General features: G+C 43.9%; 1 pseudogene, besides 1 other annotated feature; it reads right to left on the reverse strand.

Annotated features, from left to right (window-relative positions):
- TMEM183AP3 (TMEM183A pseudogene 3) lies at positions 1,372 to 2,774 on the reverse strand (annotated as a pseudogene).
- Positions 5,346 to 5,546: a silencer, noted in NCBI's record as "peak2285 fragment used in MPRA reporter construct". NCBI's record gives its function as "represses an SCP1 promoter by STARR-seq MPRAs in K562 erythroleukemia cells {active_cell/tissue: K562}" and the evidence as "EXISTENCE:reporter gene assay evidence [ECO:0000049][PMID:32103011]".

Raw genomic sequence — 16,222 nt, forward strand, 5'->3', positions numbered from 1 at the left:
GGGAAAGTCCTACTCTTTTAAACTATCAAATTTCATGAGAACTCACTCACTATCACAAGAACAGCATGGAGGAAATCTGCTGCCATGATCCAGTCACCTCCCACCAGGTCCATCTCTCAACACATGAGGATTACAATTTGACATAAGATTTGGGTGGGGATACAGAGCCAAACCATATCACCTGGCTTATTTCATTTAACATAATGACCTCCAGTTCCATCCACGTTTTTGCAAATAACAGGATCTCATTCTTTTTTATGGCTGAATAGTACTCCATTGTGATAAGTACCACATTTTCTTTATTCATTTTTCTATTGATGGACCCTTAGGTTGCTTCCAAATCTTAGCTATTATGAACAGTGCTGTAACAAACATGGGAGCAAATATATCTCTTAGATATACTGATTTCTTTTAGGTATATACCTAAAAGTAGAATTGCTGGATCATATGATAGCGCTATTGTTAATTTTTCTGAGGAACCTCCAAACTGTTCTCCATAGTGGTTGTATAATTTACATTCCCACCAATAGTGTATGGGGGTTCCTTTTTCTCCACATCCTCTCCAGCATTTGTTAATGCTTGTCTTTTGAGTAAAAGCCATTTTAACTGGGGTGAGATAATATCTCATTGTAGTTTTCATTTACATTTCTCTGATGATCAGTAATGTTGAGCACCTTTTCACATGCCTGTTGGTGATTTGTATGTCTTTTTTTGAAAAATGCTTATTCAAATAAAAATTTTGCCCATTTTTAATCAGTTTATTAGATTTTTTCCTATAGAGTTATTAGAGCTTGTTACATGTTCTGGTCATTAATCCCTTGTCATATATGTAGTTTGCAAATATTTTCTCCCATTCTATGTGTTGTCTCTTCACTTTGTCATTTGTTTCCTTTGTTGTACAGAAGCTTTTTAACTTGATGTGATCCCATTTTTTCCATTTTATTTTGGTTATCTGTACTTGTGGGGTATTACTCAAGAAATATTTGCCCAGACCAATGTCCTGGATAGTTCCCCTAATGTTTTCTAGTAGGAGTTGCATAGTTTGATGTATTAAGGTCTTTAATTGATTTTAATTTGATTTTTATATATGGCAGGAGATAGGGGTCTAGTTTTATTCTTCTACATACAGATAGCCACTTTTCCTAGCACCATTTATTGAAGAAATTGTCTTTTCCCCAGTGTGTGATCTTGGCACTTTTGTCAAAAATGAGTTCACTGTAGGTGTTTACATTTGTTTCTGGGTTCTCTATTCTGTTCCATTGGTCTGTGTCTGTTCTTATGCCGGTACCGTGCTGTTTTGGTTACTGTAGCTCTTTGAAGTCAGGTAATGTGATTCCTCCACTGTTGTTGTTTTTTTTTTTTTTTTTCTCTCTTGTTTGGAGATTCAAAGAGTTTAATTTTTCCCTAGAGCAAGATCAACAATTTTCACTGGGATAAAAGAATAAAGAACAAACTCAATAGCACCAAATGGGGTTTTAACACAGAAAACAGGGCCACTCCTTTTAAATGCAAATTTTTACATTAAAATATGTTTATAAATCATAGTAGTTCTTTTTCCTCTTGATTCAACATTTCTTCCTCCCCTAACAGGAGCCCTAGAACCTGAAGAGCATGTACATTACTAACCAGATACACAATCCACCCACCCTGTCCAAACTGGAATCTGATTACTAATGGACTTAGACTTGGGGCTGGCCCCAAGGGATGGGAAGCAGTAACTATGCTGTCAGGGAGAATGGGTACTGAGGAAGCCACCAGTCAAAAAGCCAAACGCTGTGCACTGGGTCCAGCATGACTTGCACACCCTGTTCACTGCACAGTTTCTGACCACCATGAACAGGGGAATCTTGGAACACCAGTCTCACTCGATGATGCCGCGTGTCCGTGCTCGCATTGACAGTAAACAGAGTAAATATCATTCCCATGACAATCGGAATAAAGATGAAATTGAGGGTGGTGACCTGCAGTAGGCAGCAGTCCTGGTCTCCATTGGTATGAACATCTTCGTACTGGATGGGAAGCTGCAATCCTCCTGTACACTTGCTCTTTAACCTAGCGGACTGTTTTTTGAACTTGAAGTTGAATTCCCGCATTGGTTCCTGTCTGTTCCCAATAATCTTTCTGCACCAGAAAAGTAAGCATTTGGAATTCTTTAATGTGCTGGGGGTGCTTTCTGGAATGGCTGGATTCTTGGAGATTCCAGCAGCAAATGGCTCATACATATGGTACAGAGATCAGACCACAATGTCCTCACAACGGATATAGGAGGTCAGCAATAGCCAAATATCCATGGGATACTCTTTTCCTCCAGCCCCGTCCAGTTCTTCTTTGTGCCTCTTGCTTTTCATTTTTCTGGAGACAGTTCTCTCATGGATGCTTTCCTCCTGGGCATCAGTCTCATCACTGCTGTCGATGATGTCACAGGGCTCACGAGCCCCAGAATGAGCTTCCTCTGCAGGAACCTGAGAGGCTTCCAAGCTTCAAAGAGATTTTACTTCCTGCTGAACAGCATTGGCTGCGGCTTTCTTGACTCATCCAGACCTCACGACCGCCAGATCCGAGTTGGCGTAATCCTCCACAGTCACTCGGCTGGAGCAGAGGAGCGACTTGAGTCGCTTTCCCCTCTTGGGCAGGGCAATCGTGTCTGGGCGAGGCCTGCCTAGTGGGCTGGGCCCCTGGGCCACGTCTGTGGCCTGGAGAGCGGGTCCCAGGAGCCGCAGGCCAGCTCCACCAGGCTCCGCGGGCATCCCGCACCGGAGGCCGCTAACTCTCGCCCACTGTTGTTCTTTTTGCTGAAATAACTGGCTGTTTTGAGTCTTTTGTGGTTCCATATAAATTTTAAGACTTTTTTCCCATTTATGTGAAGGATGTCATTGGTACTTTGATAGGAATTGCACTGAATTTCTAGATTGCTTTGGGTAGTACTGATATTTTAACAATATGGATTCTGCCAGTCTATTAACAAGGAATATATTTCCATTTTTTGTTGTCCTCTTCAATTTCTTTCATCAGTATTTTATAGTTTTTGAGAGGTGACAGCGTGCTGGCAGTCCTCAGAGCCCTTGCTTGCTCTCGGCACCTCCCCTGCCTAGGCTCCCACTTTGGTGGCATTTGAGGAGCCCTTCAGTCCCCCACTGCACTGTGGGAGCCCCTTTCTGGGGTGGCCAAGGCCGGAGCCCACTCCCTCAGCTTGCAGGGAGGTGTGGAGGGAGAGGCACGAGCGGGAACCGGGGCTGTGTGCGGCACTTGTGGGCCAGCTGGAGTTCCGGGTGGGCATGGGCTTGGTGGGCCCCGCACTCGGAGCAGCCAGCCAGCCCTGCTGGCCCCGGGCAGTGGGGGACTTAGCACCCTGGCCAGTGGCTGCGGAGGGTGTACTGAGTCCCCCAGCAGTGCTGGCCCACCGGCGCTGCGCTCGATTTCTCTTCAGGCCTTGGCTGCCTTCCCACGGGGCAGGGCTCGGGACCTGCAGCCCCCCATGCCTGAGCCTCCCACCCACTCCATGGGCTCCTGTGCGGCCCGAGCCTCCCCGACGAGCACCACCCCCTGCTCCACGGCTCCCAGTCCCATCGACCACCCAAGGGCTGAGGAATGCGAGCGCACGGCGCAGGACTGGCAGGCAGCTCCACCTGCAGCCCCGGTGCGGGATCCACTAGGTGAAGCCAGCTGGGCTCCTGAGTCTGGTGGGCACGTGGAGAGTCTTTATATCTAGCTCAGGGATTGTAAATACACCAATCAGCACCCTGTGTTTAGCTCAAGGTTTGTGAGTGCACCAATCGACACTATCTAGCTGCTCTGGTGAGGACGTGGAGAACCTTTATTTCTAGCTCAAGGATTGTAAATACACTAATCGGCACTCTGTATCTAGCTCAAGGTTTGTAAACACACCAATCAGCACCCTATGTTTAGCTCAAGGTTTGTGAGTGCACCAATCGACACTCTGTATCTAGCTGCTCTGGTGGGGCCTTGGAGAACCCGTGTGTGGAAACTCTGTATCTAATCTGATGGGGACGTGGAGAACCTTTGTATCTAGCTCAGGGATTGTAAATGCACCAATCAGCGCCCTGACAAAACAGGCCACTCGCTCTACCAATCAGCAGGATGCGGGTGGGGCCAGATAAGAGAATAAAAGCAGGCTGCCCGAGCCAGCATTGGCAACCCTCTCGGGTCCCCTTCCACACTGTGGAAGCTTTGTTCTTTCGCTCTTCGCAATAAATCTTGCTACTGCTCACTGTTTGGGTCCACGCTGCTTTTATGAGCTGTAACACTCACCATGAAGATCTGCAGCTTCATTCCTGAGCCCAGCGAGACCACGAGCCCACGGGGAGGAACGAACAACTCCAGACGCGCTACCTTAAGAGCTGTAACACTCACCGCAAAGGTCTGCAGCTTCACTCCTGAGCCAGCGAGACCACGAACCCACCAGAAGGAAGAAACTCCGAACACATCTGAACATCAGAAGGGACAGACTCCAGACACGCCACCTTAAGAGCTGTAACACTCACTGCGAGGGTCCACGGCTTCATTCTTGAAGTCAGTGAGACCAAGAACCCACCAATTCCAGACACATTTTCACTGTAGATATCTTTGACTTATTTGGTTAATTCCTAGGTGTTTAACATTTTTATGGCTGTTGTAAGTGGAATTATTCTTTTAAATTTCTTTCTCAGATTGTTCACTGTTGGTATATAGAAATGCTACTGATTTTTGTATGCTGATTTTGTACCACGAAATATTACTGAATTTGTTTACCAGTTCTAATAGGTTTTTGGTGAGTCTACGTTTTTCCATATATAAGAGCATATCATCCACAAACAAGCATAATGTGACTTCTTTCTTTCCAATTTAGATGTCCTTAATTTCCATCTCTTGTCTGATTGCTCTAGCTAGGACTTGCAGTAGTATGTTGTATAACGGTGGTGAGAGTGGGCATCCTAGTCATGTTCCAGATCTTAGAGGAGAGGCTTTCAGTTTTTTGCCATTCAGTAAAATACTAGCTGTGGACCTCTGTCATATATGGCTTTTATTATTTTGAGGCATATTCTATTTATATCCAGTTTTCTGTCTACATCCAGTTTTTGTGGGTTTTTATCATAAAGAAATTATCTGAAGATAAAATTGTTAAGCAAAAAGAAACCATAACTTTAAGGTTTAGAAAATTCTCAGCCAATTATCTTCCCCAAAATGAGAAAGTTTGTTTGGAAGAGAACATTAAATGTGTAGCCAAGTAGCCATTCGATAAGACCATTAGTATGAATACATACCACAGACCTAATCAGCCATCTCCACAGAAGCAAGGTACTTCAAGACAAGAGAAAAATGATTCTTCCCTCTCACATAATTCAGAGGTCATCAGGGCTGCCACTCCCACCACAGGCCCAGAGTGTAAGGGCTCCAAGGAAATCACTATTTCAGAGAGGCCACCAGCACCTTCAGGACCTTGGAGAGCTATGGGCCCAGGCAGAGAGCCACTGTGGTGGCAGGGCTGCCCAGAGCCCTTAGGACAAACCCTCCAAGAGCCTTCTGAGCTCAACTCCTACCCAGCAAGGCTGCAGAGGCAGGATCACCACCTCAGTAGGTCCAAAATGCGGGACTCCCACCCCAGTGGGCCTGGAGGACAGCAGCTAGGCAAAAAGGTTTATTGGAATTTTCCCTATTGGATTTTGGACATGCTCAGAACCTGTCATCATTTCTTCTTTCCCATTTCTCCCTTTTGGAAGGGAACTGTCTGTCCTATGACTGACTCACCATGGTATTTTGGAAACACTTAAACTTGTTTTGATTTCATAGGTTCACAGCCTCTTTTTTTTTTTTTTTTTTTTTTTTAGACAGTCTCCCTCTGTCGCTCAGGCTGGAGTGCAGTGGCACTATCTTGGCTCACTGCAAACTCTGCCTCCCAGGTTCTAAGTGATTCTCCTGCCTCAGCCTTCAGGGCAGCTGGGATTACAGTCATGCACCACCACGCCCGGCCAATTTTGTATTTTTAGTAGAGACAGGGTTTCACCATGTTGGCCAGGCTGGTCTCAAACTTCTGACCTCAGGTGATCCACCCACCTTGGCCTCCGGAAATGTTGGGATTACAGGTGTGAGCCACTGCGTCCAGCCTAAGCCCATTTTATAAAGGAACTAATTGCATTTTCTTCTTGCATTCTACTATAAGCAGTCAGGAAGAATTAAGCCACTCCACTAACACTTCCCTTAGAAATCGTTTCAGCTCAGTATACAATTTTATCACTCACAGTTCTGTCTTTCTCAAAACACACTAGAACACAAGCACAGTTTAGCTAAGGTCTTTGCCACTTTATAACAAGGGTAGCTTTTCCTCCAGTCCCCAACAGCATGTTCCTAATTTCGGACTGAGGCCTCATCAGAATGGCCTTTATTGTCTGTATTTCTACCAATATTCTGTTCATGAGTACCTAGATACTCTCTAAGAAGATGCAAGCTTTCTCTATGACTCTTCTAGTTTTTTTCTTAGTCTTCACTGGAATAGCCTTTAAAAATCCATTCACAGCAATGTAGGCTTCTTCTAGCATGCACCTTAAAACTCTCCCAATCTCTACCCATGACCCAGTTCCAAAGCCCCTTCCACAGTTTTAAGTATTTGTTACAGGAACACCTCCACTTATTGGTACCAATTTCTGTCTTGGTACTGCTACAATAAACACCATACATGAAATGTCTTATAAACAACAGAAATTTATTTCTCACAGTTTTGGAGGCTGAGAAGACTAAGATTAAGGTATCAACAGATTCAGTGTCTGGTGAGAGCCTATTTCCTGGTTCGCCAATGGCCATCTTTTGGTTGTGTCCTCACTTGATGAAAGCAGGGAATGGCGCTCGCTGGGAACTCTTTTATAAGGGAACTAATATTATTAGTGAGAGCTTCATCCTTATGACCTATTCAACTCTCAAAGGCCCCATCTCTAAATGCCATAATATTGAGGATTAAGTTTCAATATGTAAATGTCAGGGGAATACAAATATTCAGTCTACAGCAAGAAGTAAAAAGTAGTATCTATTGTAAGATTGAGCTATTTGATGATTACATGACCTTGAAAACAGCAGTTTTAATACAGTGAGTTCATAAAGAAAGTAGAAAATTATTGGAGATGGCAACTATACCCAAGATATTTTTTCTATAAAATGTAACCATAGAAATGAGCTCTTAACTGGAGAATAAAATCGCATTTAGAGGTTTTGTTTTCATTGATTGTTTTATTTTAAGGTAGAATTAACAGTAATTGTTTGTATACCAACTGGATAATTCCAACAAAGGCAAAATAAGAGATAGAGGAGAGGAAGAAGGGGGAAGTGTTGGATCCAAGTAACTAGGCAAGATGGGATGAGTGCACAAGTAAAACAGATGACCTTTGCTAGAATCTTAGGCAGTTCTCCCAAAGTTGAGGAGAAGTCAGAGTACACAACCTCAGGTGTGGGTAGTCAGTAAACATGGTGGTGGGAATATGTGAAAGTTCTTTTCTGATTGCTTCTAGTATCTTAATGAAATACCTAGCAAGGTGTTCTCAGCTGAGAGTGTGCATGTTGGATGGCGTTATGAAATAGTCATTCAGGAGAATGAAGGATTGGCTGGATAGAAAAATAATTTGAAGGCTGGTCAGCATTTAGGGCTCACTTAAGAATAATAATTGTATATTTATAATATTTAAAGGCATTTGAGTTTGGGCATAAATTTTAAATAGTGAATTGCTAGAGGAATACTATAAAGTCAGAGAGAAGTGAGATTCAAGGTGAGAGATAATATTGGCTATGGAATTTAAGTTGAATAAGGAAGAAATTGAGGCTATGAGGATGTCGAGGGATAATGAAAAAGCAGTAGGATTAATGGATTATTGTCTGAAGAGGTCAAAAAATGATGGACTTAGGGCAAATTATAAAAAGAAGTGGAATGCTTAAAGTTGAAAGTAGGGAACAGTTTGTTGCTATTGGTAATGAATAAATACCTTGAATATGAGTGGCTGAGATAAGGTGGAAAACACAATTATTAGAGGAGAGGAGTCTAGGAAGTGCATGTTCAAGGGTCATCTTTGTGGATCCTAAAGTAACCAAATTTTGTAAAAGAAAAACTTGAAGAAAATAGCAGTTCTCACAGAGATAAAATGTTTAGAGAATAAGGGTGTGGAGAACATTGATAATAGGGGCTGGTAGATACTAGCAATAATAAGGGTCTGGGATGGTATAGTATAATGCTATGATTCAAGACTGGGGACTTCTGAAGAAGCAGAAGAAAATCTGGTCTAGGACAGATAATGTTCTGTAAATGGCAATGAAAAACAAGAAATACACCAGCAGATAGTGTGAGGAGTGGAAAAGAATGCAGCCATCACTTGAGAAAGGCTGTAAAGGAAACAATTACTTCAAAGCAGGGCAAGGTTTTAGTTAAAGCAAAAATATCATAAAATGAGTTAAGATTATAATAGATTTTGATGGTGACTGATTCTTAATGCTTTTACTTCTAAATCAAATTGGTATCCATTGCCTCTAGTAATTCTGTATCAGTTTGCATGAATTCCATTAATCCTGACTGTTAATCTTTTAGCAGCTTCTGGGCTTCTTTATGTGTTTTTGTTAAATATAATTTCACTGAAGTCCAGATTGAGTTGTTTGATTTCCCTAGGTGTCAGCAGTCATGTTGAAGTGAAGGCATTTTTTCTCTCCCCTGTCCCACCAACACAATGGGAATATGGTATAAAAGCAGCCAGGCTAATGGAATGGAGATGAGGCAGTTGAAGGAAGATTTTCGGTTCTCAGTCCCTACTAGTCTTTTCAGGCTCAAACACAGTGAAGATCAAGCTCAGCCATTCATTTTCTCCTTGTACTCATGGGAGCCAGGGAGATAAAAGGCCCTTGTGAAAGCTGATTACTCTGGCAGAGGCCACGAGATCTATGGGGCCAAGCTTTCAGCTTTTCACTCAAGAGCTCTCACGCTGGTATCTGGTGCTTTTTCTCTGTCCTGGATGCTCACAGAATCCAAAGCCTTCCTGGAACCCGACATCCAACTATCTGTAAGGCCCAGGAGCCATTTGTCTCTGGAAAGGCAGGTAGATTGGAGTCAGTGCTTGGCGTTTTGTTTTGTTTTGTTTTGTTTTGTTTTGTTTTTGAGACAGAGTTTCGCTCTGTCACCCAGGCTGGAGTGCAGTAGCATGATCTCGGCTCACTGCAAGCTCCGCCTCCTGGGTTCACGCCATTCTCCTGCCTCAGCCTCCCGAGTAGCTGGGACTACAGGCGCCCGCCACCATGCCCGGCTAATTTTTTGTATTTTTAGTAGAGATGGGGTTTCACCGTGTTAGCCAGGATGGTCTCGATCTCCTGACCTTGTGATCCACCTGCCTTGGCCTCTCAAAGTGCTGGGATTACAGACTTGAGCCACCGCGCCCAGCCAGTGCTTGGGTTTTAAGCTACCATTTTTCCAAAACCCCCTCTTCCACTGATTTTAGAAAGCATATACATGGCTTTAACCTCAGGGAAAATATCAAAATAAACCAAACCAGTTGGGGACCATTTTCTTTCTCTCAGAGGTATCTTGTTATGATGCTATTGTCCCAGGCCTATTTTTCACAGAAGCAAAGTAGATGATGGCATGGCAGTTAATTTTTACCTTCCAGTATGTTTCTATATATATATGTCTATGTATTGAATTTTTTATTTGCCTTCCAGCCCTACTAGGCCTGCCATCTAGAGAAAGAAAGCTCCAACCACCTCAGCCTGGAGTAACTATGGGAAATACAACTTTGTTTCCCCTCATGCTTTGTAAACCACCTCTTCCAGTTTGTGTTGTGTTGTGTTAGGCCATTCCTGCATTGCTATAAAGCAATACCTGAGACTGGGTAATTTATAAAGAAAAGAGGTTTAATTGGCTTATGGTTCTGCAAGCTTTACAGGAGGCATGGTGCTTGCATCTGCTTGGCTTCTAGAGAGGCCTCAGGAAGCTTACAATCATGGTGAAAGGTGCATCTCACAGGCTGAAAGCAGGATCAAGAAAGATATGGTTGTGGGGAGGTGCCACTATTAAATAACCAGGTCTTCTGAGAACTCATTATCATGAAGACCGCACCAAGTCACCCAGGATCCAAACACCTCCCGCCAGCACTGGGGATTACAATTCAACGTGAGATTTGGGTGGGGAGAAATATCCAGACTATTAATATATCACCAGCATTCCAGATTTGTTTCCTCAAAGTCATCTCTGACTGTCAAACAGCTTAAGTCATTGTGTAGGTAACCTCTTTTAGAAGGGGATAACCCTGCCTTGCAGAATTATTTGCTCAAGCCACCTGGCAATAATTCAGTGTTTCAGGAAACTCACTGGGGCTGTTTGCTGGATCAGAAATCAGCATTATGTCAAAGGGTATTCCAAAGGCAGTGGGAGAAATGGATGGAGTTCTGAGAGGGTCTGCTGCATGAGCACTCTGGGGACCCATGTCCAGGTGGACAATACTCTTCATGTTGTTACACAGACAAGTATAGATACTTTATTAAGATAGGTTTCTAAGAGTAAAACCTTCAAAGGACTATGTGGAAAGATTTGGGCGGTTTTATGTTATCTTTTGAATAGATCCAAAAACAATGTAGTTAGGACAAATGGCTGTCAATGATTTCCAAATTATTTTCACTAATGCATTACCATTACTACAAAAGTGTATATCAAGTCTCTGAAGGAAGTTAGAGTGAGGCAAAAGGAAGAAATATCAACCAGTGAAGCCCAGTGAAGTGGGCAATCTCCTGCTCCTTTCTAAATGCCAAAAACCTACACAATTAATAGTTTTTGTGCAGAGCAACTCCAATAAACATGAAAGGAAAACTTCTCTTACCCACACCAAGCACATGTTTTCCAAGTTGTGATGAGAACTGGTACAGCAGACTTCTCAAGATAAGAATGTTTTGAAGGACAAATACAAGCTTATACATCAAAACTACTTAATCTGAGAAAGAACTTGCTGGCATCCAAACCTTAGGAACTCAGTCCTGCATTGTCACTGCCTTTGACAAGGCTTACTGCACTACATGCTGTAAAGGCCTATGGGATGTGGTTATTAGGATTTCATCTGCAGGCTACCCAGGATGTCATATACCATTGATACTCCAGTGACAATTAACCAATTTATTAATGTGATGTTCCCCTTTACAATTAACCAACCTAGCAGATAGGTTGTCCATCAGGGTTTTTTCTTTTTATTTTCTTTTTTTTTTTTTTTTTGAGACAGAGTCTCGCTCTGTCGCCCAGGCTGGAGTGCAGTGGTGCGATCTCGGCCCACTGCAAGCTCTGCCTCCCGGGTTCACGCCATTCTCCTGCCTCAGCCTCCTGAGTAGCTGGGACTACAGGCGCCCACGACCACACCCGGCTAATTTTTTGTGTTTTTAGTAGAGACGCGGTTTTACTGTGTTAGCCAGGATGGTCTCGATCTCCTGACCTTGTGATCCACCCGCCTCAGCCTCCCAAAGTGCTGGGATTACAGGCTGAGCCACTGCGCCCGGCTTTTTTCTTTTTTAGAAGTAATTATAGATTTAAAAATATTAATAGTTACAAAATAGTAGATAAGAGTCCCTGTGTACCCTTCAACTCACTTCCTATAATGAAAACCTCTTATGTAATCATAGCATAGTCATCCCTCAGTAGCCACTGGGGTTTTGTACAAGCACCCCCATAGACACCAAAATCCATGGATGTTCAAGTCCCTGACATAAAATGGTTTAGTATTTGCATATAACCTATGCACATCCTTTAAATCGGGAGCCCCCAGCTCCTGGGGCTGTTGACCACTATTGGTCTGTGGCCTTTTGGGAATCAGGCTGCACAGCAAGAGATGAGTAGTGTGCTCTGTAAATATATTTGTATTTATAATAAATGTAATCTGTATTTATAATACATGTAATAAATCTGTATGTAAAGCCCCTCCCTATTGCTTGCATGACCACCTGAGCTCCACCTCCTGTCAGATCAGCAGCAGCATTAGATTCTTGTAGGAGTGCAAACTCTACTGTGAACTGTGCATGTAAGGGATCTAGTTGCATGCTCCTTATGAGAGTCTAATGCCTGATGATCTGAAGTGGGACAGTTTCATACCAAAACCACCCCCGCAGCCCTTACCCCATCTGTGGAAAAATCGTTTCCCAGGAAACCATTCCCTGGTGCCAAAGATGTTGGGGACCACTGCTTTAAATCATTCTTAGATTACTTATAATACATAATACAATGTAAGTGCTACAGAAATAGTTGCTATTCCGCACTGTTTTTTGCAATTTGTATTTTTATTGTTGTATTGTTATCTTTATTGGTTTTGTTTTTGAGTATTTTCAATCAGCTGGTTGACTCTGCAGATGCAGAACTGCAGCTATAAAGGACCCAACTCTACATTAGCAAAACCACATTACAATTAACTTTACTACAGACCTCACTTGGATTCAGAAGTGTTTTTCTGCACTCTTTTTTATTCTTTGTGTATATGTGTATACTTCTAAGAAATTTATCACTGGTGTAGATACATATAACCAATAACATAATCAAGATATAGCATTATGCTGTCATCCGAAGAAAGGACCTCATGATATCCCTTTATAATCACACTCACCCCACTTCTCTAAGTCCCTGGCTACTGCTGATCTGTTCCCTATTTCTAGAATTTTGTCATGTTGAAAACCTTTTATAATGAAATTATATATTGTACAACCTTTTGACATTGCATTATTTATTTATTTATTTATTTATTTATTTATTTATTTTTGAGACGGAGTCTCACTCTGTCGCCTGGAAGGAGTGCAGTGGCGCGATCTTGGCTCACTGCAACCTCCACCTCCCAGGTTCAAGCAATTCTCCTGCCTCAGCCTCCCAAGTAGCTGGAACTACAGGCGCGTGCCACCATGCCCGGCTCATTTTTTGTATTTTTAGTAGAGACAGGGTTTCACCGTGTTGGCCAGGATGGTCTCGAACTCCAGACCTCATGATCTGCCCACCTCAGCCTCCCAAAGTGCTGGGATTACAGGCATGAGCCACCGCACCCGTCCTGAGATTGAATTTTTAAAGTTTAATTCCTTTGAGGTCATTGCAAATCATTCAACAGTTCATTGCTTTTTTATTACTAAGTACTAGTCCATTGTATGGCTGTACCATGGTTTGTTTAGCCATCCACCTGCTGAAGGACATTTGGGTTGTTTACAGTTTGGTTGTTAAAAATAAAGCTTCTGTGAAAACTCATGCACAAGTTTTTGCATGAATATCAACTTTTATTTCTCTAGGGGAAGTGGCCATGAGTGCAGTTAGTGGGTAAACAGCTAAGCACGTTTCTAATTTGTGAAAACAACAACAACAACAACAAAAAAACACCAAGCTGTTTTTCAGGGTGGTTGTTCACCATTTTTGGACGGCACTATTCAGAGACCTGTAAACCTGCACTCTCCTGTGCACTGTTCAGCCTCAAGCGGTGAAAGTAACGTAGCAATTGGGCCAATTACCTCACAGCTGCTCAATTTATGAACTTATTTCAGCCTCCCCAGTAGCTGGGATTACAGGTGCGTGCCACCATGCCCAGCTAATTTTTGTATTTTTAGTAGAGATGTGGTTTCACCATACTGGCCAGGCTGGTCTCGAACTCCCGACCTCAGGTGATCCACCCACCTCAGCCTCCCAGAGAGCTGAGATTACAGGCGTGAGCCACTGCACCCGGCGTTAAATGCATTTTTGGCTTCTATTTTCAACTGATGATGGGCATTGTACATTGTAAAGACAATAAATCTTTCCATTAAATTAGTGGGAAAGGAGCTCAAAACCCAGCCTGGTGATTCATTATTTTAATGACTTCCTGCTTTACTGCAAAACCTCTCTCTTCATTCGGTGTTGGCATTTTGAGCCCCTGTTAAGGATATAGGCTCACAATGAAGCTTCTATAAATTTCTGGACCTCTGTCATGCTGGCATGTATGTCATTCTCCTTTAGGAATGATGAGGAGGCTGGCAAGCGGTTGCTCCAAGGGACGGGGGAATTTTTCAAACCTGAGCCGTCCAAGCTCAGCATGAATTGGAGTGGGCTGCTGACTCAGGCTAGCAGAGGCAGCCAGGAAATATGCAAATCTGCAATCCATTCTGCCAGGTCTGTCCCAGCAGGTGTCACTAAAAGGCAGCCCTGTGTGCTTCTGTCACTGTGACAGCCTTGACAAGGAAGATGGAGAGGAATAGAGACCCAGTGCTGAACTCCAAGCAGAGATGGGGCTTTTCTCTCTGCATATTTTCCCTCCCCTCCCAGCCTGCATCACCATTAACATATTGATTTATATTTGTATTATGAAACAAAAATGGTTGTAAACAGCTGTTCTTTCCTTTTACACACAATGCTAGCTCCTATTTAGATTCCTAAATGAATAATGTCTAAAGAGGTACTTAAACTGACATAAAACGCAGATGATCTTATGACCAAATGCTTAGTGCAAAAACAACAACAACAACAAAAAAACCCCTTCAAATTGCAAGAGAAGTTCCTCCAAATACAGAGAGGACAAGTATTGTAAGAGGTACCTTAACTAAAATGTGGCAATGTAAGGAGCAGAGCAGGAAGAACCTTTAAGTCTGAAACTTACAACAAGTCAATTTCATAGTCAGTTTCCGTGGGTCCTTCCACAACAACCTCTGGCATCCATTTTCTCTGCAATGGAGGTAACAACAGTAGCTATTTCAGAGCAGGAAAAGGCTTAGAGCAGTGCCAGAAGAGGGTCATGGCTATATAAAGTTTAGCTATTTGTATATTGTAACAAAGCTACAGTGTATTTTTTTTATTGGTAGTCAATAATAAATTTCTTTTGGAAAAGTAGCAGCCTCTTATTTAGTTTCTTTTTTTCCTTTCCCTTTTCCTGCCACAGAGTCCCGCTCTGTCGCCCAGTCTGGAGTGCAGCAGCTCCATTATAGCTCACTGCCACCTCGACCCCGGGCTCAAGCAATCCTTCTACATCAGCCTTCAGAGTAGCTGGGACTACCCGCGGGGCCCACCACACCCGGCTAATCTTTGTGGTTTTTGTTTTGTTTTTCCCTTAAGAGACCCTGTTTGGGGCCAGGCGCAGTGGCTCAGGCCTGCAGTCCCAGCACTTGGGACGCCCAGGCGGGCGGATCACCTGAGGTGAGGAGCTGGAGACCAGCCCGACCAACATGGAGAAACCCCATCTCTACTAAAAAAAAAATTACAGAATTAGCCGGGCATGGTGGCTCAGGCCTGCAATCCCAACACCCGGGGAGGCCGAGGCTGGCGGATCACCTGAGGTCGGGGGTTAGAAACCCTCCTGACCAACATGGAAAAACCCCGTCTGTACCAAAAACAACAACAAAAACAAATACAAAATAGCTGGGCATGGTGGCTCACGCCTGCAATCCCAGCCACTCAGGAGGCTGAGGAAGGAGAACCACCTAAACCCGGGAGGTGGATGCCGTGGCGAGCCAAGACCGCGCCACTGCATTCGAGTCTGGGCAACAAGAGCAAAACTCCACCTCAACAACAACAAAAGCGACCGGGTTTCACCATGTTGCCTAGGCCCGTCTGGAACTCCTAGACTCCAGTGATCCGCCGCGCTGGGCCGTCCAAAGTCCTGGGATCACAAGCGTGAGCCACCACGCCAGGCCGATCTATTCCTTTCTGACTAATAAATTGGGCCTGGAGTGGTGGCTCACGCCTGCAATTCCAGCACCCGGGGACGCGGAGGCGGGCACATCACATGAGGTTGGGAGTCTGAGACCAGCCTGACCAACATGGAGAAAACCCATCTCTACCAAAAAAAAAAAAAAAAAAAAAAAAAAAAAAGTACAAAATTAGCTGGGCATGGTGGCTCAAGCCTGCAATCCCAGCACCCCTAGAGGCTGAGGCGGGCGGATCACCTAAGGTCAGGAGTTTGGGACTAGCCTGACCAACATGGAGAAACCCCGTCTCTACAAAAGAAAAAAGAAAATTAGCTGGGCATGGTGGCTTATGCCTGCAATCCCAGCCGCTTGGGAGGCTGAGGCAGGAGAACGACCCAAATCTGGGAGGCGGAGGCCACGGGGAGCCCAGGCCACGCCACTGCACCCTGCCTGGGCAACAAGAGCAAAACTCCGCCTCAAAAAAGGAAAAAAAAAAAAAAAGAAAGAAAGGTTTCACCATGTTGCCCAGGCCGGTCTGGAGCTCCTAGGCTCCAGTGATCACCGCGCTCTGTCGTCCAAAGTCCTGGGATCACAAGCCTGAGCCTCCATGCCA

The sequence above is a fragment of the Homo sapiens genome, chromosome 15 (assembly GCF_000001405.40).
Source record: "Homo sapiens chromosome 15, GRCh38.p14 Primary Assembly".
NCBI lineage: Eukaryota > Metazoa > Chordata > Mammalia > Primates > Hominidae > Homo > Homo sapiens.